The following is a 27,922-nucleotide window of genomic DNA, read 5'->3' as shown; positions in this document are numbered from 1 at the left end:
TGCTAGTGTTAGGAGGTCAGAATTCTGCCCTGCCCAGGCCTTTTGTGGGGAATGTCTGCTACTTTTAGTCTTTCCTGTTTGAACATTTCTTCTTTATGGAAACTATCCTTTCCCCAAGCCAAGTGAATCTGGTGATTCTATCACTCAAGTGACCCTGCTTTCTCTGCTTAGGCAGCAAACTAAAGAGAGTGTCCAAAGAGATGATGTACATCTCTTTGGACACTTCCACTGTGGGAATTTGACCCGAGCAGGGCCAATCCAAATCCATTAGAGGGGTTAACGTGGAAATGAAAAAGAGAACATAGCACCCTTTCCTCTGGGATCACTACCTATGAGGATAATACAAGCCTGGAGTTCTGATGCCTATTTTTACTACCATGTGGAGAAAGCATTCCTAAGGATGAAGCCAATAAATAAATTAGAAGAACAACTTTTTAGAAAAGAGAGAGGGAGCTTTAATGATATTATTTTTTTTTTTTTTATTATACTCTAAGTTTTAGGGTACATGTGCACATTGTGCAGGTTAGTTACATATGTATACATGTGCCATGCTGGTGCGCTGCACCCACTAATGTGTCATCTAGCATTAGGGATATTATTTTAACTGCTAGATGGAGTCATGCCTGAAGCTAACACCACCTCTTTGATTCCAAAATAGAGAAGCCATTACTTCTGTTTTGGCTTTGCTTAAGTTGATTTTAGTTGAATTTCTATGACTTCCAACAGAAAGAACCTGTGCTTATTATGGCTACTGTGTCAGAAGCTCTGAGCAAGTATTGCACTTTTATAAGCTCCCTGGGAGAGACCGATGTATATGAAAGTTTGAGAATTAATCTGTGGCTTCTTCATGCTCTAATTGACAAAAGGAGCAACAGAACAGGATGTTGGACTTAAACAAAATGAATATCCAACTCATGATCTAGTCCTTGCTTGCTCCTCCAGCTTGGATTGATGTCATTTTCTCCCTCTCCCAAACTAAGCCTCTTTTAGTTCCTCAATAGGACTTCGCTCACCTTAGTACATTTGCATGTGTTTATCCTCTTATTCTTCAACAGAACTGGCTGATTCTCCATTTTTAGGTCCCAGATTAACTTTCAGAGTCTCAGATGACTTTCCCAGGGTCCTTCCCGTACCATTCCATGGAAAGAAGGTTATCTCTCTCATTATCCACTATTCTGATCACCTTGGTTTTTGTGGGGTTTTTTGTTTGTTTGTTTTGAGACAGAGTCTCACTCTGTCACCCAGGCTGGAGTGCAGTGGCATGATCTCAGCTCACTGCAACCTCCTCCTCCCAGGTTCAAGTGATCCTCTGAGTAGCTGGGACTACAGGTGCGTGCCACCACACCCAGCTGATTTTTGAATTTTTAGTAGAGATGGGGCTTCACCATGTTGGCCAGGCTGGTCTCAAACTCCTGGCCTCAAGTGATCCACCTGCCTCAGCCTCCCAAAGTGTTGGGATTACAGGTGTGAGCCACCGCGCCTGGCCCCTTATTTTATCTTTATAGTTTTGATTGCAATCTGTGTTAACTAACTTGCTTTTGTCAGCTTTCCTATGGAAAATAGGCTCAAGAAAGTAAGGGCCTATCTGTCTTGATCACTATTACCTTCCACATGCCTGGCACAGAGCCTAACACCTAGCAGGGTTTGCAATAATCATATTTGTATAAACAAATAAATCATCATAATGCGGGCACTTACCTGTCAGCCTTCCTTGGGAAAATCAGAAAAAAAAGTCAGCATTCACTGGAGTGAGCCCGGGAGGCGGAGCTTGCAGCAAGCCCAGATCGCGCCACTGCACTCCAGCCTGGGCGACAGAGCGAGACTCCGTCGCAAAAAAAAAAAAAAAAAAAGTCAGAATTCACTCAGTATCTCCCTTGGTTAAGTCAACCACAAAGCGGGAGGAGAAGGGGCTAGGAAAAGACATAGAGACTTTGCTTCTATGAGAATTTTCAGATGCTTGTAGTATGCAACCTTGTGCATGCTTCTGTGAGCAACAGAATCATCAGGTAACCCTCAGCAAGATGTAGCTCCTGTCTTCAAAGAGCTGCTCATCTGGCTGGAGAAAGTTAACATAAGGAGCAGTGGGGGCAGAGAGAAACCCAAGGAATGGCCACTCCAGAATTACACTGCCTCTTCGCAGATGCTATTAGCATCTATGGCAAAATAATTTGTGAACCTAATAGAGAACAAAAAGAGAAAAAGAACAGATGCATCTATACCATACCAAGGGAGAAAAGAAGCAATTAAACTGACATCCCTTATTCAACAGCCTGCAGGCTCTTCAGAGAGGCTTGGGGTTGGTGCTGCATCTCTTTCTTCCTCGGTAACTTAGTCTCATTTTCCCCTTCTGGCATCTTATTGCAGTAATAGGTTTGTTATTATGGCTCTGAAGTCAGAGCGACACAAGAACAGGAGAAATGAGAGGAAGGAAAAAGAAAGCTGAACATGAGGAGATGGTTTCTTGCCCAAGAGTTCTTGCCACATTAAGATACAGAGGGAAAAACATTTCTCTCACTTGTATTTGCCTTTCTCCTTCTTCAGCATGCTCTGAAATGAGCTACAGGGTAACAGAAGAGGCTTTCTTTGAGAACATGTCTGTTCAGTTCCCTGAAAGAATTAAATTACATTCAAGAGGCACATACTTACTTTGCTATTAGGTGAGGGAAGGAGGAGGGAGCTTATATATATTAAGTGCCCATTTTCTGCCAGGTCCTGTCTAGGTGCTTGGAAAATGCTGGAAGAGAACACAGACATGCCCCTGTTCTCTTGGTGCTTATATGCTAGTGGGAGAAAAGACAGCTATCAAATAAAATAAAATAGATCACACAGATAAATACAAATATAAGACTCAGGAAAGTTTGAAGTTCCATCCTGCTTGGGAGATCTTTCACCTGGGAAATCGACCTTGCAGGAAACACTCCTCTGTGTCTGCAGATCAGTAAACAGGAGACTGGTGTGTATAAAGACCCTGAGAATGGATGAGTTGCAGCTGCTCGGGAGACTTATGGGACCTCTGCCTCAGTCAGCTGACACTACTAGCCACAGGGACTTGAAGGGCTGGGACTTCCAGTGAAAAAAAATGCTGCTCTGCCCTCTGCTTTGTGTAGCTGTCTTCATGAACTTAAACTCTTACTTCTTTTAATTGCATTAAAGAGACATGCATTCTTTGCCTGGGTCTGTTAGTATCTCTTCAATCACAGCCACCCCTGAGACAATCCTATAGAGATAATTTCAAAGAGTGGCAAAGGCCCAAGAAGGGAACAAAACCAAGTGCAGTGACATTGAGTGCCTGGGAAGACGGGAGCAACATAAATAAGGATGCTCAGGGGAGGCCTCCCTAAAAACATGATGACAAGTGGCAGCCAGGCCAAGATCAGACAGAGGGTACACACCCGCTAAGTGCCTCAATGCAAATGCCTTGAGGTAGAAACAAGACTGACATTCGAACAACAAAGGGAAGGTCATGTGGCGAAGGAAGTGTCGCTCCAAGTATAGTCCCAGGCCATGCCATGGGAATTTAGTAGAGACGCACATTCTCACCTTCTCGCCCAAGAACCAGAAACTCCAGGAGTGGAGCTCAGCTATGTGTGTTTAACAAGTGCTCCAAGTTATTCTGAGGCACATTCAAATATGAGAACCACTAAGCTAGAATATACTGACAAACAGGGACTTGCATAAAGGGTGGAGCCAACGCACCCTTTATAAGCCAGTTGCCAGATTGTAACAATAAGCAACTTATGTCATCTCAGTTTTTCATCATTGAATCTTTGGCACTTACCATGCTGCCTACTACAGAGTAGATGCCCAATACTCATTTGTTAAACAAATAAATTAATATAAATATAGAGAGCCTCTACTTGAATGATCTGATACCAGTTACAACAATGATATGCAAGATCAATGGTACTTTATAATATGAAAATGAAGACAAGAGAAATCAGAGAAAAAATAGAAACCATTTCAGGCAGATGTACTGAGATTAGCAAGAAATGAGAGGCAAAGATGTCCTGTAGCAAAGAGGGTCAGAAAAACTAAAAAGCAGACAGAAGATCTCAACAGGCACAAAGGTTTCAGCATTTAGTCTTGGGGTAAACTGTGTGATTCATTAATCCCCTAGGGAACTACTATATTAATGACATAGAACAATAACTATCATTTGTTTGTTGTCTCCAAGCAAACAAGAAATGTTATGTTATATTGATTCAATCCATCTAAAATACAAAAATAATAGCCTCTACTTAAATGGTTTTAAATCCTCAGTTTTATGGAAAATTCCACTATTCAAAATGCTTCATTTCCTGAGGCCTCTTAGATAGCCAAGGTTTTTACTGTATTGCTATTATTTTTATGACCAAAGAGTTTTCACAACCCATAGTAGGTGATATTGGTGCTAACCAGATCAATCTTAAAGCCAGTTTGAGGCCTCCCCTGAATGCCTTCTGAGCACAAGGCAGCTGGGAAACCCAAGCCAGCCAAGCACCTCTAGCTGTTGAGAAGTCAGACAGGGCATGAGTCATTCTGAATACTGGCCTCTCTATTGAACTTCTCCTTAACAGAGTGGATTTTGATAGACTCTCCTCTCCTTCTCCTTCCTCTCCTTCTTGCAATTAGTAAGTTCCTGGTATGAAAGCACCTCCTGGCACATACAGGGAAGACATGTGAACAATCCGGAGAAGCCTGGACATTCCCTGATCACTTCCCAGGCAGGAAGCTCTTGAACATCTAATCCAAATCCTGCCTACAGCATAAAGTCCATTTCTTCTCATTACATTTGTAAGTCCCCTCAGCTAAGGGTGAGCTGGCAGGGAAGGGGAAGCTCATTATAGATGTGGTGGTTGTTCTCAATTGATTTTACTTATTTCTCTACATTTCCAAATCTTGAGTACATATCTTACTATTTTTTCTACCACTGTTCCCTTCTCAACAGTCAATGTTTTATTAAGGACTCACTTCTTGCATTAGTGAGAGTATCTGGAAGTAATTTTTTGGGTGTGTTTTACACATACATGCACATACACACAAACAAAAAAGGAAGAGATCAGTAAGTAGATTTGCACTTTAATCTTCAAAGCTATCTATACGTGGACTTGGCTGTCTATAGAGGTAGAGCATTCCCTATAACCAGGAGGTAAGATTCCTTCTGATCAGTAGTTGAAAGAACAGATAAAGTATTAGATGAGAGAAACCTCCTTGCTTAACTGCTGTGATGTTCTGTGATGCAATGAGATGCCCACCTTGAATAGAAATTGAGGCAGGAGCTGGAAGGAAAGATGCAAGCAGCATAGTTTTGCTGGGTTTATGGGTATCAAAGGCACACTAGTATTCAGAGAGCCCATCATTGGCAGTGCAGGGCAGCATCATTCTCATCATTGCAAACATTTATCCGGCAACAAGTGTGCCAGGCACTGTGTGAGTCCTCCTCACATCATACCTAACAGACGACTATTATTACGTTCATGTTAACTGAGGAGGAAATTGAAGCACAGAGAATTTAGGTTACCTATCATCACAAAGCTGGTAAGTAATGCAGACAAGACTCAAACCCAGGCTGCCTGACTCCAGAGCCAGTGCTCTTCACTGCCTCCATCATGCTGCTTCCCAAAAGGGCTATAATAACTAATTGCAGTTTTAGTATTTTATCTTTTAAAAAGAGAGCACAATCTCTTTCATCCTTACAGAAGACTCCTGAGGCCAGGAAGTTATCACTAAATGACAAATTGGGGACAGAGGGTCAGGAAGGAGGAGGACTTGTTTATCTCTAGCCAGTAGTCTGAAGCAGAGCCTCCTGGTGCTCTGCCCACATGTCCTCCTCTTGCTCCCACACTGCCTGGTTTCTCTACAACTCCTAAGCCAAGTATTTAGGCAGGAAGACAGCACCTTGTTAATCTTGTGCCTGCAAACTGGCCACTCATTCGTACACACCGAGGTCCCAGATATACCCTATTTATAGCCAGCAACTTCCCAGGTTTAAAAAAAAAAAAGGGGGGGGCGCGCCAGAAGGAAAAAGGGATTAAGAAAGATGATGCTCAGGCTGCAAACCTAGTAAAAATTTCTGATGCATCCTTTCCTTTCATCGCCTAAGTCTACCAACTCTCAAACCCTAGAAACAATAATAGATCCCCCATTTTACTGATGACAAAACTGAGGATTGAAAGTCCACATCATTGGTCTCCTTCCTGACCTGCCTCCCCTAACATATCTATCTTTTTCTCCCCTGACTGTGGTGGTAACTTCTTCAGTGGCATCTTTTGCCCCTCCCTTGCTGCATTGATCTCATTGGCACAGGATGCAGGACCATGCTTCCTGGATGGCTGTCTTATCATTCATGGCCCTCTCCTCCTCAAAGACTTTCAATAGCTCCCCGCTACTTACAGAATCAAATCCCCAACTCCCTAGTCTGCTCTTCAGTTTCTCCATGATTTGGCCACACCTATATTTTGACCTATTTTTATTACATTTACCTAAGCTCCAGTCACAGTAGTACCCAAGGAAAGAGCCTGAGTAAGTCCTAAGCCCACCCTCTTCATGATGATGATTCCTTCATGTGGAACCCCTTGCCACATGCCACTGTGCTTGAAACTGTGCTCAAATGCCACCCATCATGAAAAGTTCTCATTCACTCTCAGTCTAAATCTCTCCTCCTATGCCACCCTCATCCTCCGAGAGTCCACTTTGTATTCTAATCACGGTTTGAAAATGGCATGTTCCATTCTCTTAAGGAGTTTGTCACACTTGGGGCTGACTTTTGCTTTCTTATACCCTCTTCCCTCCCACCACCACAGTAGGTGCTAATAAATGCTTGTTGAATTGAATTAAATTGAGAGGTCATCTGGGGAATAAAAGTTAGAAATTTATCATAACTTGGACTCTGAGACGATGGAGAAGTTGAAGGACCAGTGACCTCTCTCTCTTCAGAACTCAATTATCTGCATAAGAACAAACGTCTCAGATATCTAGCTATTAATTTGCTCACAATCATCTCAGTCTCCAAAGTTCACAAATGTCCCTTTCAATTTCTCAGCCACATCATTCACAGGAAATGAGATTCTCTTTTCATTCACTGAATCAGGGTGGCCCTTGTACCAATCTCCCTTCCACCACGGTACCCCCCAAAGCTCCTATGTGTTCTTATTCTTTTCCAGTTTGCCACAATTAACCACCCGAGCATCAAAATGCCCAATACCACTACTTTCTTGGGGCCTGTTCAGGGACCAACACTTCCTGCTTAGCATCATAAATCAATAGCTGGAGACCACAGGTTTTATTGGCATCCCAAGTCAAAGAAATCTATTCTAATTAATCCTCCACACAAAAATGATAGCCTTCAGCCATCTTACAGGCAGGAGCCAACAAACCTAGAGTGAAAGAAAAGATGCAGGCCCAGCTTCTCATGAAATCAATACGACCTCACTCTGAGCTCTGTTCTGGGTCACATAGAAGAGGCAGCATGTGTGGCTGAGATCACTGCAGAAGTCCCTGCCATTAATCTGACAGCTAGGATGAGCAGAGCCCAGGAGCCCTGTTGCACCACAGACCGAGAGGACTAAGAGCCAGCCCCTTTAGAGGCCTTTAACCCTTTGATACACATTTATTCACTATTAACAGAGATTTATTAAGGCTGGTGTAAAAGTAATTGCAGTTTTTGCTATTAAAAGTAATGGGAAAAAAACACAATTACTTTTGCATCAACCTAATACATAAATCATGTGTTTCCGTGTGCTTAGCATGCACACATCAAGCAGGAAATGGAGAAATCTGGGACTGAATGAGACAATAGGAGAGAAGACACATTATTATCAATGCTGTTCTGCTACAGGGTAGTTGGACCGTCCAATGTTCAGTGATCAGCACATTGTGCAGCTTCAGGGATGGCTCAGCCCATCCCTGATGAGGGAGTGGAGTGGGACTCCTAGCAGGGCCTTCATCATTATGGCTGATGAAGAATTAGGAGGCTGGCAATGCCCACAGTCAGTGGGGAAGTGATGCTGTTGTCTCAGGTGGCTCATTACATAGAAAGAGGTTGTGAAGCATGTGTTTGGAGCCTCACATACCTGGTTTTAAGTCACTCCTTTCTACCTAGATGACTGTAAGCAAGTTACTCAACTTCTGAGTTTGTTTCCTCTTCTGGATGATTGGGGAAACAGTGGCAGTACTTAGTTAGCCAGCTTGTGAAACTGTATTCCAGGTGGAACAGTGAGTAAAATACTGTGATGTGTTTTTCCCCTTCAATCCCCTAAGTCCAAGGTCTAGGTCAAAACATTTGAAGCCTCCTGAAAATGAGAAGTATAACAACAAACTCAGAAAAAAATGACACTAAAATTTCCTCACTTTTAGCTTTGTTTCAAGAACAATACAGGAAAGACTAGGAAGAATGCAAATCAACACACACACCCCTCCACCCTACCACGAAGTTACAATGTTCTCCCAGCTCGGTGGGGAGAAAACTGTTGAAAGAAAAGGAAAGACTTCAGACACTTATAACGGGCCCTATGCCCCTTTCCTTACCACCCTTCTCGTCTCCCAATTTCTCTGGAGTTCTGGGAGGACAGAAAACCCCTCATATCAACCTCTATGCCATTCTGAGGGCAGCAGAAATGAGAAAGCCACATGCAGTGAAAGACAGGACCAAGTGACAGCCCAGCATGGTCCCACCAGCCAAGCACCACGGGTACTGACGACAAAGCCCAGGTCGTGGCAAATATGCCTGTCTGAGGATGCCGCCATCTTGCCACATCAACTCCAGGGGAAAGGAAGGAAAGAGGGAAATCCTGAATTTGTCTGAGTTTAAGCCTGTAAGTCCCAAATAACTGAAATGACTGAGTTCCTCTGGCAGTAATGAGAATCCATGTTATGCCTTCTGATGGAATAGACTTCAAGAAGGAAAGTAGATTCAGTTTTAGGAAAATAAAGTTATGTTCTTGTAACCTGAGTTCATGGCATATATGCCTATACATTTATATATACACATATATTTAAAATAATGGTAAAATAAAATAATAAATGTAATGAATTTATTGACATGCATTGAACGTTTCCTGTGTGCCAGGCACTGTTCCCACTGCTTTATATAGGTAACATCATTTGTTTCTCACAGTTGAAGACCTGTGAGTTTGTATGATTATCCTCCTCTGGAGAATAAATGAGCTGAAGCACAGAGAGGTTCGATCACCTGCCCAGGGCTGTATCATAGAAGTGGAGAGTTCAGAATATAAACTCAGCCCATCTGGTTGCAGAGCCCATGCCTTTCATCACTCTGGCTATCTCGCTTCTACATGTAGCCTTCAACCTATTATAGCATGTTGACTTGTAATTTATTGAGTGCTGAGTGTGAGCTGGACACTATACTAAAAGCATTACTCTTATGACATTTTTACTCTTTATAATAACCCCAGGAGAAAAGTTTTATTATCTTTTTTAAAATTTATCTAGTCATCCAGAAACATATTACCTTAAAAAAAAAAAAAAAAAAAAAAAGATAAGGAAGCTCACACTCTGAAACCAAATGTATCTGGCTCCAAAAAGTGAAATGTGCTCTCAACCCCTTCCTACACACTTCAATATAAACACATGTAGATGTAGAGGGCTGAGCTCACCATCAGGTTTACAGTAAGGGTGCCACATATGGAGCTGCCTATATGAGAGTCATGATGATACAAATATGACATGAGTTCTTGGAAATTCCACATCCAATGGCAAGGCCAGAGGGAAGGAATAGATAAGAATTAGGGTCAAGTCCCACAGAGAAGAGGCCTGGTAAGAATTAGCTGGGTATCCAGTCATGCATAGAGAGTTCCAAGACAGGCTCAGGCCCTGGCAGGCAGTCAGAGTGCTTTGCAGATGCAGTAAATCCTGGGTGAGGAGGAAACATCAACATTCAGAGCTCACCTGAAGGTCTATAGCCAACAGGACTTGACTCAAGGAACCGTGGCATGGTGGACTTGAGGTTTCTGGCTACAGCCCAATCCAGACAACTCAGGGCAGTGGCACTACTGATGCTGAAAGCACGGGACATCAGTGGGACTCATTTCACAGATAAGAAAATTGAGGTTCAGAGAATGTAAATAATTAACATGGTCATGCAACTGGTAAATGGCAGACATACAGACACAAACTTGGCTCTCTCTGACTCCAAACTCTATGCTTTTTCTTACCCCTGCATTTTTCCAAAGCAGAGTAAATGCTGTTTATGGCATGACTCAAAGAAAGGGGAGTAAAGGTACACTCTGCCATTCTCTTGTCACTCAAAAGGCCCATCTCTGTGATCAGCAAATATTTTAAGTAGTCTGGGCTCGCCTACCTCCAGATCATGCTGAAGTCAGATCTCAGATCTCCCTCCCCCTCCCCAACAAGGGATTAGCTAAAGAAATAAAGTCCCATTTCACAAGCTGCTAAACCCTGTTTGATCAGTCCTGCCAGGGATTTCCTGGGTTTAATCACCTGCTAGCTCTGCATGGTGGGAAAGTTGTTGGGCTATGACTTTGTTTTGCCTGTCCTTCTCCCTGATGTGATTCCACTCCTGCGTATACTCCCCAAGGTTTGCACAAGAATGCTCACTGCTGCAGGGCTCACGGTAGAAAAAAAGAAAAAGAAAAACCCATCAATCAGAGATAGATGAATAAAACACTATATGGCGGATAAAATGAATATATACTAGATCTACACATACCAGTGTGAATAAATCTCAAAAATAATGTTCAATGCAAAAGGGAGACTGCAAAAGGATATGTATAGTAGGGCAGTATTTCTATAAAGTTTACAAATATGCAAAGCAATACTATGCATTGAATAGAGACTTGAACATGCAAAAAATTCATAAAGTCGTACATGAAAATGATAACCTACATTTAGGATGGTGATGAACTCCAAGGAAGAAAAGGAGGGAATGAAATTGAGAAGAGGTCCCCAGAGTGATTTGAATCTATTTGTAATCCATTACTGTTTATTTAAAAAGCATTAAACAAATATAGCAAAATGTTAAATCTGTTAAAGGTCAATTGGGGGTACATATGTACTCATGTTATTATTCTTTATGTTTGAAATATATTATTATAAAAAAAATTTTTAAAAAAAGAATGGGGTTGGCCGGGCGCAGTGGCTCATGCCTGTAATCCCAACACTTTGGGAGGCTGAGGTGGGCAGATCACGAGGTCAGGAGATCGAGACCATCCTGGCTAACATGGTGAAACCCCGTCTCCACTAAAAATACAAAAAAATTAGCCAGGCATGGTGGTGGGTGCCTGTAGTCCCAGCTACTCGGGAGGCTGAGGCAGGAGAATGGTGTGAACCTGGGAGGCAGAGCTTGCAGTGAGCCGAGATCACGCCACTGGACTCCAACCTGGGCGACAGAGAGAGACTCCATCTCAAAAAAGAAAAAAAAAAAAAGAATGGGATTAAATCTTCAGTGTTTATAATAAGGATCGTGGACTCTAGTTTGAAAGTAATGAAGGTTTTTTGTGCAAGGAGAGATGTGATCAAACAGCCCTGCATAGACAGGGAGATGCTAACATGGAATTATGAAGGCCTGGTCAGTGCCATAGCATAGTGTAAACAAAAAAAAAAAGGGCAGACTGCAAATCCCCCTGTAGTGCCTGATGGTGAAAGTATGACCGAGATCAGCCCTTCCCATCTCCCATCCCCACCTCTGAGAAATCTATCCTCCTCTTTGCACCATTCCAATGGCATCCTTCCACCCAGGGCTGTAAACTTCCCATGGCAGCAAGCTGGGCCAATCCTGACATTTCACCACCAAGCTCTATACTGATTGGTCCAAGAATGGGCAATAGCCCAAAGCTCAGCCAACCAGAGACAATCCTTTTCCTGGGCTGCCTTCTTTGAATGAGAACCAAAAGAAGATGATCCTTTCCTCTGGTGGTGGAACTTAAAAATGGGTGCAACGCTCTATGTGGCCCTGTTTCCCACCCAAAAGAAAAGCTAGTCAGGGGTGGTAGAGAATAAAGCCTCCCCACAGAGGGTAGCTGTGCTAAGAGATTCCTGGACCATGATGAGTTCCAGTTCTGGGTGCCCCCTACAACACTCTTGTCTTGTGTGAGTATAAGCTGCAGAGCCTGTGCCCAGCAGTGCTACCATGGCATCCATTCTGGACCAGTTCTGCTGTGTGACTTTGGCCACTGATCCACAGCCTCCTGGTTCTCTGGTGCTCCAGGACACTCTGAGCTACCCAACTCCATCTAATTAAATCCTTTGCCACTTTACTGCTTAAATTAACAAGCACTGGTTTCTGTTGTTTACAACTAAGAATGCTGATGCTAAGAGGTAATACCACCACTGTTCTCCCAGGAGACCCCAGAAAGAAGATATCTCAAAACAATGCTAAGCCAATCAGGGCTGAGAATAATCAGGATCTCACTGTTTCCAAGGAGGACTCTTGTTCCCTGAGACCAAGCCACCTTTTCCAAGAAATACCTTCACAAGGTCATCCCTCTACAGAACATGGAACATCTCACCACCATTTCTGCAGGCAGCTCTTTCATATTTACAAAGCCTGTTTATGTCTGCTGTGTCATTTTATCCTCAGAGCAACTCTGGGCAATGAGCAGGGCAGGCCTGAGACTGTAAGTCTCATTTAATTGAAGAGGAAGCCAAATTTTGGAGAAATGACGTCTCTGAGTCGCGCGGAAACTTGACAGCTGTGCCTGGAACAGAATCCAGGCCTCCTGATGCCATCCCAATATGCTTAAAAGGAAATAAGAATTAATAGCTAAGAAAATCAACATTACTAATACTTTCAGGGCACTTATTATATGCCAGACATTGCTCTAAGTGTTTTACATGCATTAACTCATTTAGTTCTTCTCACAGCCCTATGAGGTGGGTGCTACTGTGGCTTTCATTTTACAGATAAGGGAACTAAGGTACAGAGAGTTTAAGGTACTTACCTGAGGTCACACAGCAGGTAAGTGGCAGAGCTATGGCTCAAACCAGAATTCATACTCTCAATCACTACACTAAATAGGGCAGGAGAAGCAGTCTTTCTGGGGTCCAGGTTCCTTGGCCCTCACCCTCCTTGGAATGAGAGGAAGTTCTAGAAGTTTGGGCTGTGAGTACACCCTGATCCCACACAGCTTAGGCTGATCTAAATGCAGGTGCTTCACGCTAAAAGCCTGGAAGGGAAGTGTGCTAACAGAGCAGGTGCTGAATTGCAGAAAAGTTAAATATGGAATGGGAACATCGAAGGCTGCAATAAGAGCAAGGAGGGTAAAAACCAATTTCAAAACAGAGCCCTAGGCAATGATTTGGAGAGAAAAACTAATATATGTGATATCACATAATAACTGTACAATGCCTTCCATTTACCTCACCCTTTCCTTTGGAGGAAGCCTAAGAAGTTCACAATTGCTATTACAATTCTTCCTTCTTGAAGTTCGTGACCTGCTGAGGATGGCTGTGGCCTTTGTCCTTATATGCAGGGAAAAAAGAAAGCACCAAAAGGTCAATGCAGAAATCACGGAGTGGCAAAGTATCTATCAAAGCCAACTGTCTGGGCTCGAAAGCTGATAGACAGAAGCTAGTACAGTGAAAATCAATTCAGCAAAGGATTGTTCATATAAAACTGTCAGACAAATACCCAAATTCACTCTAGGAGAACTGCCCACTGCCATTTTACCTCCAGGATAGAGGCAGGAGAAGGAGATAGAGGGGAACAAGCAGGATGAAGACAAGGGGCAGAAGATAAACAGCAAGAATGGGCCATATGTGACAAAATTAAGAGACAACAAAGTTCTGGTCAGACAAAGCTCATTCATTCACAGATAAAGCCATGAGCAAGCCAAGATAACATATCCTCAGGGAATTAATGACTCGCTCATCTGGCAAATCCATCATTCGGCATACTGGCTGTCATCCAACTTGGCTGGAGGCCCCACCGGGGTCCCCTCTACAGTATAGAGAAAAGCAGAGGAACTGTCACTAACCCTCCCTCCTTTCTTTCTCCACCAGCTTTGCCTTGGACAACAAATAGTCCGTGCCTTCTTCCCACCAAACCAGCTCTCTGGAAATGATCTGTTCATTGTTATTACCCAGCCCTAGTATTATTTATTTTTCTCTTTTTACTCATTTTATACCCAGCCAAATAGGACTATCCACTCCTCTTCATATGATCTCTATGTCCCCATCCTGACACCTTTATTCATGTCGTTCCTTATATCTGCAATGACTTCTCTCATCCTCTTGGATAATTGATCCGTTACAGCGTACAAACTAAGTTACCAAAGGAATTCAATTTACGTGACAGTTGCACAATTCTGTAATATAATAATAATCATTGAATTTCATACTTAAAGTGGATGAATTTTATAAGTAAATTATATCTCAGTAAAGCTTTTCTTTTAAGTCACCTAAGGGTTGTAAGTGTCCACCATGTAATTTTGTTTTTTTTTTTTTTTTTTTTTTTTTTTTTTATTATACTCTAAGTTTTAGGGTACATGTGCACATTGTGCAGGTTAGTTACATATGTATACATGTGCCATGCTGGTGCGCTGCACCCACTAATGTGTCATCTAGCATTAGGTATATCTCCCAATGCTATCCCTCCCCCCTCCCCCGACCCCACCACAGTCCCCAGAGTGTGATATTCCCCTTCCTGTGTCCATGTGATCTCATTGTTCAATTCCCACCTATGAGTGAGAATATGCGGTGTTTGGTTTTTTGTTCTTGCGATAGTTTACTGAGAATGATGGTTTCCAATTTCATCCATGTCCCTACAAAGGATATGAACTCATCATTTTTTATGGCTGCATAGTATTCCATGGTGTATATGTGCCACATTTTCTTAATCCAGTCTATCATTGTTGGACATTTGGGTTGGTTCCAAGTCTTTGCTATTGTGAATAGTGCCGCAATAAACATACGTGTGCATGTGTCTTTATAGCAGCATGATTTATACTCATTTGGGTATATACCCAGTAATGGGATGGCTGGGTCAAATGGTATTTCTAGTTCTAGATCCCTGAGGAATCACCACACTGACTTCCACAATGGTTGAACTAGTTTACAGTCCCACCAACAGTGTAAAAGTGTTCCTATTTCTCCACATCCTCTCCAGCACCTGTTGTTTCCTGACTTTTTAATGATTGCCATTCTAACTGGTGTGAGATGATATCTCATAGTGGTTTTGATTTGCATTTCTCTGATGGCCAGTGATGATGAGCATTTTTTCATGTGTTTTTTGGCTGCATAAATGTCTTCTTTTGAGAAGTGTCTGTTCATGTCCTTCGCCCACTTTTTGATGGGGTTGTTTGTTTTTTTCTTGTAAATTTGTTTGAGTTCATTGTAGATTCTGGATATTAGCCCTTTGTCAGATGAGTAGGTTGCGAAAATTTTCTCCCATGTTGTAGGTTGCCTGTTCACTCTGATGGTAGTTTCTTTTGCTGTGCAGAAGCTCTTTAGTTTAATTAGATCCCATTTGTCAATTTTGGCTTTTGTTGCCATTGCTTTTGGTGTTTTGGACATGAAGTCCTTGCCCACGCCTATGTCCTGAATGGTAATGCCTAGGTTTTCTTCTAGGGTTTTTATGGTTTTAGGTTTAACGTTTAAATCTTTAATCCATCTTGAATTGATTTTTGTATAAGGTGTAAGGAAGGGATCCAGTTTCAGCTTTCTACATATGGCTAGCCAGTTTTCCCAGCACCATTTATTAAATAGGGAATCCTTTCCCCATTGCTTGTTTTTCTCAGGTTTGTCAAAGATCAGATAGTTGTAGATATGCGGCATTATTTCTGAGGGCTCTGTTCTGTTCCATTGATCTATATCTCTGTTTTGGTACCAGTACCATGCTGTTTTGGTTACTGTAGCCTTGTAGTATAGTTTGAAGTCAGGTAGTGTGATGCCTCCAGCTTTGTTCTTTTGGCTTAGGATTGACTTGGCAATGCGGGCTCTTTTTTGGTTCCATATGAACTTTAAAGTAGTTTTTTCCAATTCTGTGAAGAAAGTCATTGGTAGCTTGATGGGGATGGCATTGAATCTGTAAATTACCTTGGGCAGTATGGCCATTTTCACGATATTGATTCTTCCTACCCATGAGCATGGAATGTTCTTCCATTTGTTTGTGTCCTCTTTTATTTCCTTGAGCAGTGGTTTGTAGTTCTCCTTGAAGAGGTCCTTCACATCCCTTGTAAGTTGGATTCCTAGGTATTTTATTCTCTTTGAAGCAATTGTGAATGGGAGTTCACCCATGATTTGGCTCTCTGTTTGTCTGTTGTTGGTGTATAAGAATGCTTGTGATTTTTGTACATTGATTTTGTATCCTGAGACTTTGCTGAAGTTGCTTATCAGCTTAAGGAGATTTTGGGCTGAGACGATGGGGTTTTCTAGATAAACAATCATGTCGTCTGCAAACAGGGACAATTTGACTTCCTCTTTTCCTAATTGAATACCCTTTATTTCCTTCTCCTGCCTGATTGCCCTGGCCAGAACTTCCAACACTATGTTGAATAGGAGCGGTGAGAGAGGGCATCCCTGTCTTGTGCCAGTTTTCAAAGGGAATGCTTCCAGTTTTTGCCCATTCAGTATGATATTGGCTGTGGGTTTGTCATAGATAGCTCTTATTATTTTGAAATACGTCCCATCAATACCTAATTTATTGAGAGTTTTTAGCATGAAGGGTTGTTGAATTTTGTCAAAGGCTTTTTCTGCATCTATTGAGATAATCATGTGGTTTTTGTCTTTGGCTCTGTTTATATGCTGGATTACATTTATTGATTTGCGTATATTGAACCAGCCTTGCATCCCAGGGATGAAGCCCACTTGATCATGGTGGATAAGCTTTTTGATGTGCTGCTGGATTCGGTTTGCCAGTATTTTATTGAGGATTTTTGCATCAATGTTCATCAAGGATATTGGTCTAAAATTCTCTTTTTTGGTTGTGTCTCTGCCCGGCTTTGGTATCAGAATGATGCTGGCCTCATAAAATGAGTTAGGGAGGATTCCCTCTTTTTCTATTGATTGGAATAGTTTCAGAAGGAATGGTACCAGTTCCTCCTTGTACCTCTGGTAGAATTCGGCTGTGAATCCATCTGGTCCTGGACTCTTTTTTGTTGGTAAACTATTGATTATTGCCACAATTTCAGAGCCTGTTATTGGTCTATTCAGAGATTCAACTTCTTCCTGGTTTAGTCTTGGGAGAGTGTATGTGTCGAGGAATGTATCCATTTCTTCTAGATTTTCTAGTTTATTTGCGTAGAGGTGTTTGTAGTATTCTCTGATGGTAGTTTGTATTGCTGTGGGATCGGTGGTGATATCCCCTTTATCATTTTTTATTGTGTCTATTTGATTCTTCTCTCTTTTTTTCTTTATTAGTCTTGCTAGCGGTCTATCAATTTTGTTGATCCTTTCGAAAAACCAGCTCCTGGATTCATTGATTTTTTGAAGGGTTTTTTGTGTCTCTATTTCCTTCAGTTCTGCTCTGATTTTAGTTATTTCTTGCCTTCTGCTAGCTTTTGAATGTGTTTGCTCTTGCTTTTCTAGTTCTTTTAATTGTGATGTTAGGGTGTCAATTTTGGATCTTTCCTGCTTTCTCTTGTAGGCATTTAGTGCTATAAATTTCCCTCTACACACTGCTTTGAATGCGTCACAGAGATTCTGGTATGTGGTGTCTTTGTTCTCGTTGGTTTCAAAGAACATCTTTATTTCTGCCTTCATTTCGTTATGTACCCAGTAGTCATTCAGGAGCAGGTTGTTCAGTTTCCATGTAGTTGAGCGGCTTTGAGTGAGATTCTTAATCCTGAGTTCTAGTTTGATTGCACTGTGGTCTGAGAGATAGTTTGTTATAATTTCTGTTCTTTTACATTTGCTGAGGAGAGCTTTACTTCCAACTATGTGGTCAATTTTGGAATAGGTGTGGTGTGGTGCTGAAAAAAATGTATATTCTGTTGATTTGGGGTGGAGAGTTCTGTAGATGTCTATTAGGTCTGCTTGGTGCAGAGCTGAGTTCAATTCCTGGGTATCCTTGTTGACTTTCTGTCTCGTTGATCTGTCTAATGTTGACAGTGGGGTGTTAAAGTCTCCCATTATTAATGTGTGGGAGTCTAAGTCTCTTTGTAGGTCACTCAGGACTTGCTTTATGAATCTGGGTGCTCCTGTATTGGGTGCATAAATATTTAGGATAGTTAGCTCCTCTTGTTGAATTGATCCCTTTACCATTATGTAATGGCCTTCTTTGTCTCTTTTGATCTTTGTTGGTTTAAAGTCTGTTTTATCAGAGACTAGGATTGCAACCCCTGCCTTTTTTTGTTTTCCATTGGCTTGGTAGATCTTCCTCCATCCTTTTATTTTGAGCCTATGTGTGTCTCTGCACGTGAGATGGGTTTCCTGAATACAGCACACTGATGGGTCTTGACTCTTTATCCAACTTGCCAGTCTGTGTCTTTTAATTGCAGAATTTAGTCCATTTATATTTAAAGTTAATATTGTTATGTGTGAATTTGATCCTGTCATTATGATGTTAGCTGGTGATTTTGCTCATTAGTTGATGCAGTTTCTTCCTAGTCTCGATGGTCTTTACATTTTGGCATGATTTTGCAGTGGCTGGTACCGGTTGTTCCTTTCCATGTTTAGCGCTTCCTTCAGGAGCTCTTTTAGGGCAGGCCTGGTGGTGACAAAATCTCTCATCATTTGCTTGTCTGTAAAGTATTTTATTTCTCCTTCACTTATGAAGCTTAGTTTGGCTGGATATGAAATTCTGGGTTGAAAATTCTTTTCTTTAAGAATGTTGAATATTGGCCCCCACTCTCTTCTGGCTTGTAGGGTTTCTGCCGAGAGATCCGCTGTTAGTCTGATGGGCTTTCCTTTGAGGGTAACCCGACCTTTCTCTCTGGCTGCCCTTAACATTTTTTCCTTCATTTCAACTTTGGTGAATCTGACAATTATGTGTCTTGGAGTTGCTCTTCTCGAGGAGTATCTTTGTGGCGTTCTCTGTATTTCCTGAATCTGAACGTTGGCCTGCCTTGCTAGATTGGGGAAGTTCTCCTGGATAATATCCTGCAGAGTGTTTTCCAACTTGGTTCCATTCTCCCCATCACTTTCAGGTACACCAATCAGACGTAGATTTGGTCTTTTCACATAGTCCCATATTTCTTGGAGGCTTTGCTCATTTCTTTTTATTCTTTTTTCTCTAAACTTCCCTTCTCGCTTCATTTCATTCATTTCATCTTCCATTGCTGATACCCTTTCTTCCAGTTGATCGCATCGGCTCCTGAGGCTTCTGCATTCTTCACGTAGTTCTCGAGCCTTGGTTTTCAGCTCCATCAGCTCCTTTAAGCACTTCTCTGTATTGGTTATTCTAGTTATACATTCTTCTAAATTTTTTTCAAAGTTTTCAACTTCTTTGCCTTTGGTTTGAATGTCCTCCCGTAGCTCAGAGTAATTTGATCGTCTGAAGCCTTCTTCTCTCAGCTCGTCAAAATCATTCTCCATCCAGCTTTGTTCTGTTGCTGGTGAGGAACTGCATTCCTTTGGAGGAGGAGAGGCACTCTGCGTTTTAGAGTTTCCAGTTTTTCTGTTCTGTTTTTTCCCCATCTTTGTGGTTTTATCTACTTTTGGTCTTTGATGATGGTGATGTACAGATGGGTTTTCGGTGTAGATGTCCTTTCTGGTTGTTAGTTTTCCTTCTAACAGACAGGACCCTCAGCTGGAGGTCTGTTGGAATACCCTGCCGTGTGAGGTGTCAGTGTGCCCCTGCTGGGGGGTGCCTCCCAATTAGGCTGCTCGGGGGTCAGGGGTCAGGGACCCACTTGAGGAGGCAGTCTGCCCGTTCTCAGATCTCCAGCTGCGTGCTGGGAGAACCACTGCTCTCTTCAAAGCTGTCAGACAGGGACATTTAAGTCTGCAGAGGTTACTGCTGTCTTTTTGTTTGTCTGTGCCCTGCCCCCAGAGGTGGAGCCTACAGAGGCAGGCAGGCCTCCTTGAGCTGTGGTGGGCTCCACCCAGTTCGAGCTTCCCGGCTGCTTTGTTTACCTAAGCAAGCCTGGGCTATGGCGGGCGCCCCTCCCCCAGCCTCGTTGCCGCCTGGCAGTTTGATCTCAGACTGCTGTGCTAGCAATCAGCGAGATTCCGTGGGCGTAGGACCCTCTGAGCCAGGTGTGGGATATAGTCTCGTGGTGCGCCGTTTCTTAAGCCGGTCTGAAAAGCGCAATATTCGGGTGGGAGTGACCCGATTTTCCAGGTGCGTCCGTCACCCCTTTCTTTGACTCGGAAAGGGAACTCCCTGACCCCTTGCGCTTCCCAGGTGAGGCAATGCCTCGCCCTGCTTCGGCTCGCGCACGGTGCGCGCACACACTGGCCTGCGCCCACTGTCTGGCACTCCCTAGTGAGATGAACCTGGTACCTCAGATGGAAATGCAGAAATCACCCGTCTTCTGCGTCGCTCACGCTGGGAGCTGTAGACCGGAGCTCCACCATGTAATTTTGAAGACCACACTATCTAATTTTGAAGACCACACTATCTAAAGGCTATATGATGGAAATGTCACGAGAATTTCTAAGAGACACAAAAAATATTTTTTAAATGTTCAGATGACATGTGATGCTTCTGCAAAAGAAATAGCTTTATCCAAAGCAAATTATTTGCAAAGATAGAGCTTCTCATGCCTTGCTCCTGAAACAGAAGTGATACCCACAACTCAGTTAGGTATACATTTTAAAAAGAAAATGGTTTTGGAAAAGAATTGCTTTCAGTCCAGACCCCAAGATTTACTAGCTGTGTGACTTTGGACAAATGAATTACTTTTTCCTAACCTATAAAGTAGGCATAATAGCATCTATCTAAGTTAAGAGAATTACATCAAGGATGTTTATAAAGCACCCAGCCCAATGCTTGGCATAATGCAAGCCGAGAAACACTGCAAAGGTATTCTATGTTTGCTCTCTTCCCTCCTTCCCTGGTAACTAGAGTCAGAATAAGCATGAAGTGAATGAAATAGGTAAAGGCAGTCCCCAGTTTTGCCACTTCCCATTTCTTTCTGGTCTATATCTTTTACATTCTGTCTAGAGATACTTCCAGTTCTCTCTACCTTTCCCAAATCAGCTTTATTATTCCGAAGTTTCTTCTGTGTCAAAACAGGCAAAAGCAAATGATATATGAAATTTTTATTTACCAAACATGTGTTGCACATCAAATTCACCAAATACCTGTCAAGCATCTATCTGTGTACGTCCAGAGTGGTGCTTGGAACCAGGCTAGGAACACTCAGCACATGGCAGGTCAGGACTTCACTTTACCACAATCTCCTTTCAGACTCAGTCTCATGGAAAGCATCATAACTTGAAAGCAAGAATCGTCACTTTTCTTGCTCAGTTGGGTTACTCTTGAGGGTAGAAATTCACAGAAACAAACCAAACTTACATAATCAAACTAGATTATTTAAGCCTTTCCTGGGAAAGAGGAGCAGTCTTTTTTCTAATGCTTCATTCAGATATACACCAGAAAAACAATAGACTGGCAGTCTGGAATTCTAAGTCCTATCTTGCACCTATTGTTAATAATCATGTAATTTTCAGCAAGTCCCTTTTTCTCTCTAAACCTCAGATTTCTCATCTGCAAAATGGGAATTTAGAATGGGATCTGGATAGCTCTGGGTCTTATACTGGGTTGAATAGTGTACCCCCCAAAATGTCTGTTCACCTGGGATAAATGTGCAAATGTAATCAAGTTAAGATGAGGGTAAACTAGGGTGGATTTCTGCAACACAAGGCTTGGGAGGAAAAGCAGGGATGCAGACCTTGCTGATGCTAGAGGCCCAGTGCTACTGAGAGTGGTCTGTGTTGGGGGGCTGTACTCAAGCTGTGAATTATTGATCTGTGGGGAGCTAGGCACAGTAATGGATTACAAATAGATTCAAATCACTCTGGGGACCTCTTCTCAATTTCAATCCCTCTTTTTCTTCCCTGGAGTTCATCACCATCCTAAATGTAGATTATCATTTTCATGTATGATTTTACGAATTTTTGGCATGTTCAAGTCTCTATTCAATTGAACTAGGGTGGATTCTAATCCTGTAACTGGTATCCTAATAAAAGGAAGCAAATTTGGGCACAGACAAATAGGGAAAGAGGCCACATGAAGACAGAGGCAGAGCCTGGAGTAATGCACCTACAAGCCAAGGAACACCAAGTGTTGATGTCAACCAACAGAAACTCAGAGGCAAAAAAGAATTCTTTCCTAGACCTTTTGGAGAGGGCATGGCCCTGCTAACACCTCAATTTTGGACTTCTAGTTGCCAGCACTGTGAAAGGAAAAGGGTTTGCTGCTTTAAGCCATTCAGTTTGTGGTACTTTATTAAAGCAGTCCAAGGAAACTAATGTAAGTCTCCTTAGATTACATGCTAACTCCAGCTGATCAGTAGTATCTGCTTGGAGTGGTGTGTTGAGAAGGATTCTGAGGCTACATAGAATATGGGGATCAATTCTTGATATCTGCCTGAAAGAGAAAAGGAAGTAATGGCAAGGATGCCTTGTTTTTGCCATTCCTAAGCTATAGATAATCATTAAGATGTCTTTATGCACTGATAATACATAATTCTATCATATTAAATCCGCATGCCCTGACAGGAGTAAAGGCATTGTGAATAGGAGAAGTGTGGACAGAGGGTCATGCCTTCCACCTAACCACTGCCTCTGACTTCTACCAGATAGGACCAGTACCCTTCTATTGTGGCAATGACCTGTGATTCTGTCACCCTCTTGGCTTTGCCTTCAGCAAAACAGATCTGAGATTAAATTGACAAAGACCTGAATCCATTTTCCAACTGCCACTAGGTAAAGAGTATGACCAGAGCAAATTTGATTTATTGCAGCAATGTGGCTGATAAATGAAATATCTCAAATGCAGCAAAATTCACAGAAGGACCAGTACTTAACTGAGAAATATTTAAAAGAAGCCAGTCTTCTAGAGCCTTTTAGGGGCCCAGATAACACCAATAACAGCTCACTCAGGTGCACCCCACCATGTCTGCCTCTCCTCTGCCAAACTATCCTTGAAGCTTGGTTAGACTACTGCTAGACAGCACCTGGGATCCAAAACAAAGGTCAAAATGGTGATGCTTTGTTGGCAAGGACTGGAGTAGAGTTCCCTCTTCACACAAAGTAACCTATTTTTTGGGACATGGTCTTCCCCTACCATGGCAACTCAATCTACTGAGCTCTTCACTTGCCCACATGCCCCAGGAAGCACTAATCACATTATATATGAACCTGCAGGTTGTAGAGAGCTAGTGAGCACTGTCAAGGGTCAAACCTCTCCAATGCCCTTCTCTGGCCCAGCACCCAGCACTTGTGGACGAGTCATGGGTGGCAGCTCCCTGTTTCTTCCTTCACCCAGACAAGTGCTCCCAGCTCTCTTGCCCATTGAGGGAAAGAGAACCTTTCTTTCTGGGAAATGTTGGCCCCTCTGTACTGCCAGCAATAAAACTTTCTACTACCAACCCACCAGGCTCTCTCTAAATAAAGTCTTCTTTCCCGTTCTCTTTTGTCTGCCTTGACAAAAATTCCTGCCAAAGAAGTCAGTTCTGCCCAATCCTAAATCCATTCATGTTTCTCCATCCTTTCAGCCAGCTCCCTGGCCTAAGCTGCACCCTCCTCTCTCCAGACCCCCTAGGTTGGCCCCCTTGCTGCCTCCCGGCCTTCTGCTGTGCCCGCAACAGCCTTGCAAAACTGAGCATATGATTCTGTCATGCCCCCTATTCAAAATCATTCCACGGCTTCTGAATAAAGACCAAATTCTAGAGTAAACGACCAGGTTTCCTCGACCCCAATCCGTTGAAAACAATTGAAAAGTTGTAAAATAACAATGAATTGCTTGAAAATGAATTAAAAAGACATACAAAATACTAGCTTCAGCAGACATAAAGTTGCTCTGTCAAGTTGCACTAAAAGCTTATTCTCCATTCTGTGCCTAGCTCCCTACAGGTCTATAATTCACAGTTGGAGTGCGGCCCCCACACAGAGACCACTCTGAGTAGCACTGGGCCTCTAGGATCAGCAAGGTCGGCATCCCTGCTTGCCCTCCCAAGCCTTTTATTGCAGAAATTAACCCCCTCGCTCCCTTACTTTCCTCTGTTTCCTGCTACCTGCTTCCTTCTGACTCATGGCTTTTTAACATGCTGTTCCCTCTACTTGGAACTCTTGCTTTTCCTCAGGCCTTCATCCATCTAGTTAGCTTCAGCTCATCCTTTAGGTTTTAGCTCACGTTCTCAGGAAAGGTTGCTCACTCCTCACACACACACACACACCCCTACCCCTCCACTTTCCCCATTGCACACAGTCTTGGGGAGTTTCCATATTACTTGTTCTCACAGGATCACATCCTATTCCTTTGGCACAATTATCAAAGTTTATATAATTTTTTACCACGATTATTTGCTTAATATCTGTCTCTCCCTCCACTTTACAATCACGATGAGAGGAGGGACTGCCATCTCTCTCTGCTCTGCCCAGACTCCAGGCATTGGCACAGGGCTTGGGCACCTGGGAACATTCAATAACAATTTGGGGAGTGCAAAAACAAACTGACCCAGCTGCCTCTGGTTCATCTGTGCCATCCTTTTCCTCCATGCAGTGCAGTGCCTGCAACTTGCAGCAACTCATGTTGCTTGCCAATGCTTCATTTCTACAAACATTTCCCTTTGGTTCTTTGTGTCTGTGTGACATCCCCTCTGCATCCAACTGAGTTCACATACCCTACGCCTCCTCTCTACCCATCAGTTAGCTATCCCTTATGTTTATAGCTCTCTTTACAGTGCTAGCATTCTTTAAACAAACATTCATGTTCATCTGAATTTCACATTCCAAGCAGCAGATCACTTAGATACACGTTTTACCAAATGGGGTTTTGGCTACCTCTCCCAATCACACACGCCTTCTCAAACAGGCAGCTGTAGAGGACAAAACTGAATGCAATGTGATGCTTCCCTAATGGCAGGGTGCCAGGCATTGACAGCAGGCCAGGAGAGAGGAATTTCCAAGGGTGGCTACTTTGCTTGCCTGAGTCCTAATACAGAGGCACAGACTTATACTTTAAGAGACAATCCTAAGAGCTTATCTCACTTCAGATAAAACAGCTATAGCTATGAAGAAAACAACCATGAACTAAGAGAACAATAACACAGTGAGCCAGTGACTCAGTGTGTGGCTTGGCCAGGTTGCCTCCCCTCTCTGGGTCTTTTTTCCTCATGCATAAGATAAGGTTGATTCGGTGGCCTCTAAATCCCCAAATGAGACATTTCCCAAATCTGCAGAATACTATAATTTTCCAAACCACATATTAGATCTCAGTGTCCTCTCTAATCACTTTATTGATTCATTCAATAAATATTTATCAAGCATCTACTCAGTTATAGTCAGGGCTGGGGTTAGACAGATGAAGACAGATACAACCCCCATCCTTCTAGCTTTAGAGAGAAAGCAGATGCTAAATATATAATTAACTAACAACTACAATTAAGGCGATAAAGGGTAAGTTTAGGATTTCATGAGGGTTAGTTCTCATTAGATTGTGTAAGAAAAGGGGCTACTATCTTTGGAAAGTGACTTTTGAGAAGCAGTTTTTACATGTGTCTGAAGCCAAAGAGTTCTCAAATTATCTCACTTAGCCACACAATCAATACCTGTAAGGTTAAAAGGGATAGTATCATTGCCCCCTGTTTATACTGTTAGGATAGACTATTCCTTAGCACTCAAGGTCTGCCCCCACACCCACCCTTGCCACACCACACCTCTCTCAGGACAGCAAAACTCTCCTTCACTCATTTTGTCATAGGCTTCGTTTTCATGACTGTGTCTCCCTCACCTGAGTAAGTCCCATGACCCCAATGTCTGTTTTGTGCATTTCAGTATTCCTAGCATAGTCTTGGTACATATCTGGTGTTAAGAATATAGTTGAATGAATGAATGAATCCCCACAGATGAGGAACCCAAAGTCAAGACTTGGGCAATGTTTTCCCCAAGTCCTAAGTTAGCACATATCAAAGATGGGTCTCAAATGCAGACCTAAAGTTGAGGAGGGCAGGTGGACAAGGACATAAACCACAGTCTGTGTTCTACCCTCCTAGCCAAGCCTCACCCCCTCCAAGAAGCATCCCTTTATCTGTTGTATACAGAGTTCATTAAAAAAGAAAGGGTTATTCTGTTAAGTAAGAGTTAAAGATTTCTGCCCTACCCCTAGAAGGTTCTCATACAGAATACTTCACCCCCAACTCTATGGATATCCAAGTCAGGCTATACAGGAGTTGTTCCCACAAAGGAAGATTCAATCCCATATTCTCAAAGCTAGTTCTCATCAGTGGACAATCAAGAGGCCCACGGACCTCTTGATTAGTGGGCCTGAGCTGGAGACAGCAGGTTTTGTTTTGCCCAGCCAAGTAGTCAGCACTCCTAGCATCCACTCAGTGCTGCCCAACCTGGGGAGTGAAAGCTACAAAGTCAACTTGAGCTGCTTGGTAAAAATCCCATGTACCAGAAGATAAGACTGACAAAGAAGCAAAGTTAATCTTGGAGCTCTCAGCATGATCAGTGAACCAGCCTTTGCCTAGGAGTTACCGCAAGCAGAGCTGTGTGTTGAGTGTGATACAAGATAGAGGAACCAGTAAGCAAAAGGCTACCACCAGCCCTGTGGGAAATTCAGGTAGAGGCAGGTAATCCAGGCAGGGGTTCAGGCACAGGGCACCAGGCAGAGAAAAGTTTCAGAACCAAGTCTCCAAAGTAGGTGTGGGAATAGGTGCCATACCATGTCACTTTAGGGCCTGGGTTCATGTCATTTGAGCCTAAGAGTAGGTTTGGCCCTCACCATGAAGATGAAGCTGAGATCCAAAAGGATTTTCCAGGGTTGAGGGCAGGGCCACCTTATTTATTGATGTGTCTCCAACATCTGGCAGAGTATCTGGCTAGTGTGTACAGACTGAGTTTTTTTGAAAAAACAGAAGGAAGCAGGTCCTGGACGTCAACCCAGGAGTTGATCATTATGGTAATTTTGGCCATTATTAATTGAGCATTTACTAAGTGTCAGCACGGTGCTAAGTACTTCACACCCAGAATGATTCTGAGAGGAATGTATTACAATCCTCACCTGGCATTTGAGCAAATTATGGCTTAGCAATGTAAATAACTTGCATAAAGACACCAGGCCAAGAGATGGTGGAGCTGGGTTTCGACTTCAATTCTCTGATTTAAGCATCTGAGCTTTTAACTGTCATATTTTTCCGTCAACTCACTGAAATAAGTTACAACTAAGGAATGAGTAGCTTTTGTGTAGAAAGAGGAAAGAAAGGCTGCTTTTCCTAGGGATTCAAAAAGCACAGGACTAGATAGAAAATGGGAATGAATATAAGGAATTATCTCTGATTCAACTTCACCATTTCCTCCCAAAGAAGACTTCCCTGATTCTCCTTACAAAGTAAGGTTCCCCTGTAACACACTTTGAGCACCCCTCCATTCTTTGTAGCCCTTACTACCATTTTAACGAAACAAGCAACGGTGAATGGAGTTGTTTAAATGTTTGTCTCTCCTTATGGATCATAGGTCCATGAGGGAAGGTGCTGTGACTATCTTGCTCCTGCTGTACCCTAGTGTGCAATACAGTGCCTAGCATATAGTAGGGCTCAGTAAGTATTTGAACATGTGAGTTATATAACTGGTTGATAGATAATGGGATAAAAAGCATTCTAATGGCATATACTAAGGAGTAATAGGAGATGAAGACAAATGGAAAAAGATTAAGACGTTACTTGAAGACCCTGGAGAAAAGCCTCATGTTGATGTTGCAGGTAACAGGGAACTACTGTAGTCCCTTGAGCTTCTCTGAATAAGGAAGACTAATAATATTGAGATGAGAAATAAATCAGCTCAGGGAGAACTGATGCTCTACCCCGAATATTATGAATACTCCAAACAGGACCAGTGCTTGAGGTGGCAAGGGTCT

General features: G+C 42.7%; 1 long non-coding RNA gene across 1 annotated transcript in view, besides 2 other annotated features; it reads right to left on the bottom strand.

The window, feature by feature from the left end:
- The window catches only part of LINC01933 (long intergenic non-protein coding RNA 1933), a 311,552-nt gene that overhangs the window by 173,176 nt on the left and 110,454 nt on the right, over window positions 1-27,922 (bottom strand). The window lies entirely within an intron of this gene.
- Window positions 19,493-20,081: an enhancer, noted in NCBI's record as "NANOG-H3K27ac-H3K4me1 hESC enhancer chr5:151456754-151457342 (GRCh37/hg19 assembly coordinates)". NCBI's record gives its function as "activates a minimal SCP1, AML or CMV promoter by ChIP-STARR-seq in naive H9 embryonic stem cells {active_cell/tissue: H9 hESC(naive)}" and the evidence as "EXISTENCE:reporter gene assay evidence [ECO:0000049][PMID:30033119]".
- Window positions 26,303-26,543: a silencer, noted in NCBI's record as "fragment chr5:151450292-151450532 (GRCh37/hg19 assembly coordinates)". NCBI's record gives its function as "represses an EF-1alpha promoter that drives an FKBP-Casp9 reporter gene in an ReSE screen in HepG2 liver carcinoma cells {active_cell/tissue: HepG2}" and the evidence as "EXISTENCE:reporter gene assay evidence [ECO:0000049][PMID:32094911]".

This window comes from Homo sapiens, chromosome 5 (assembly GCF_000001405.40).
Source record: "Homo sapiens chromosome 5, GRCh38.p14 Primary Assembly".
NCBI classification, from domain to species: domain Eukaryota; kingdom Metazoa; phylum Chordata; class Mammalia; order Primates; family Hominidae; genus Homo; species Homo sapiens.
The sequence above is the reverse complement of the archived record's forward strand: the minus strand, read 5'-3'. Positions and strand labels throughout refer to the sequence as shown.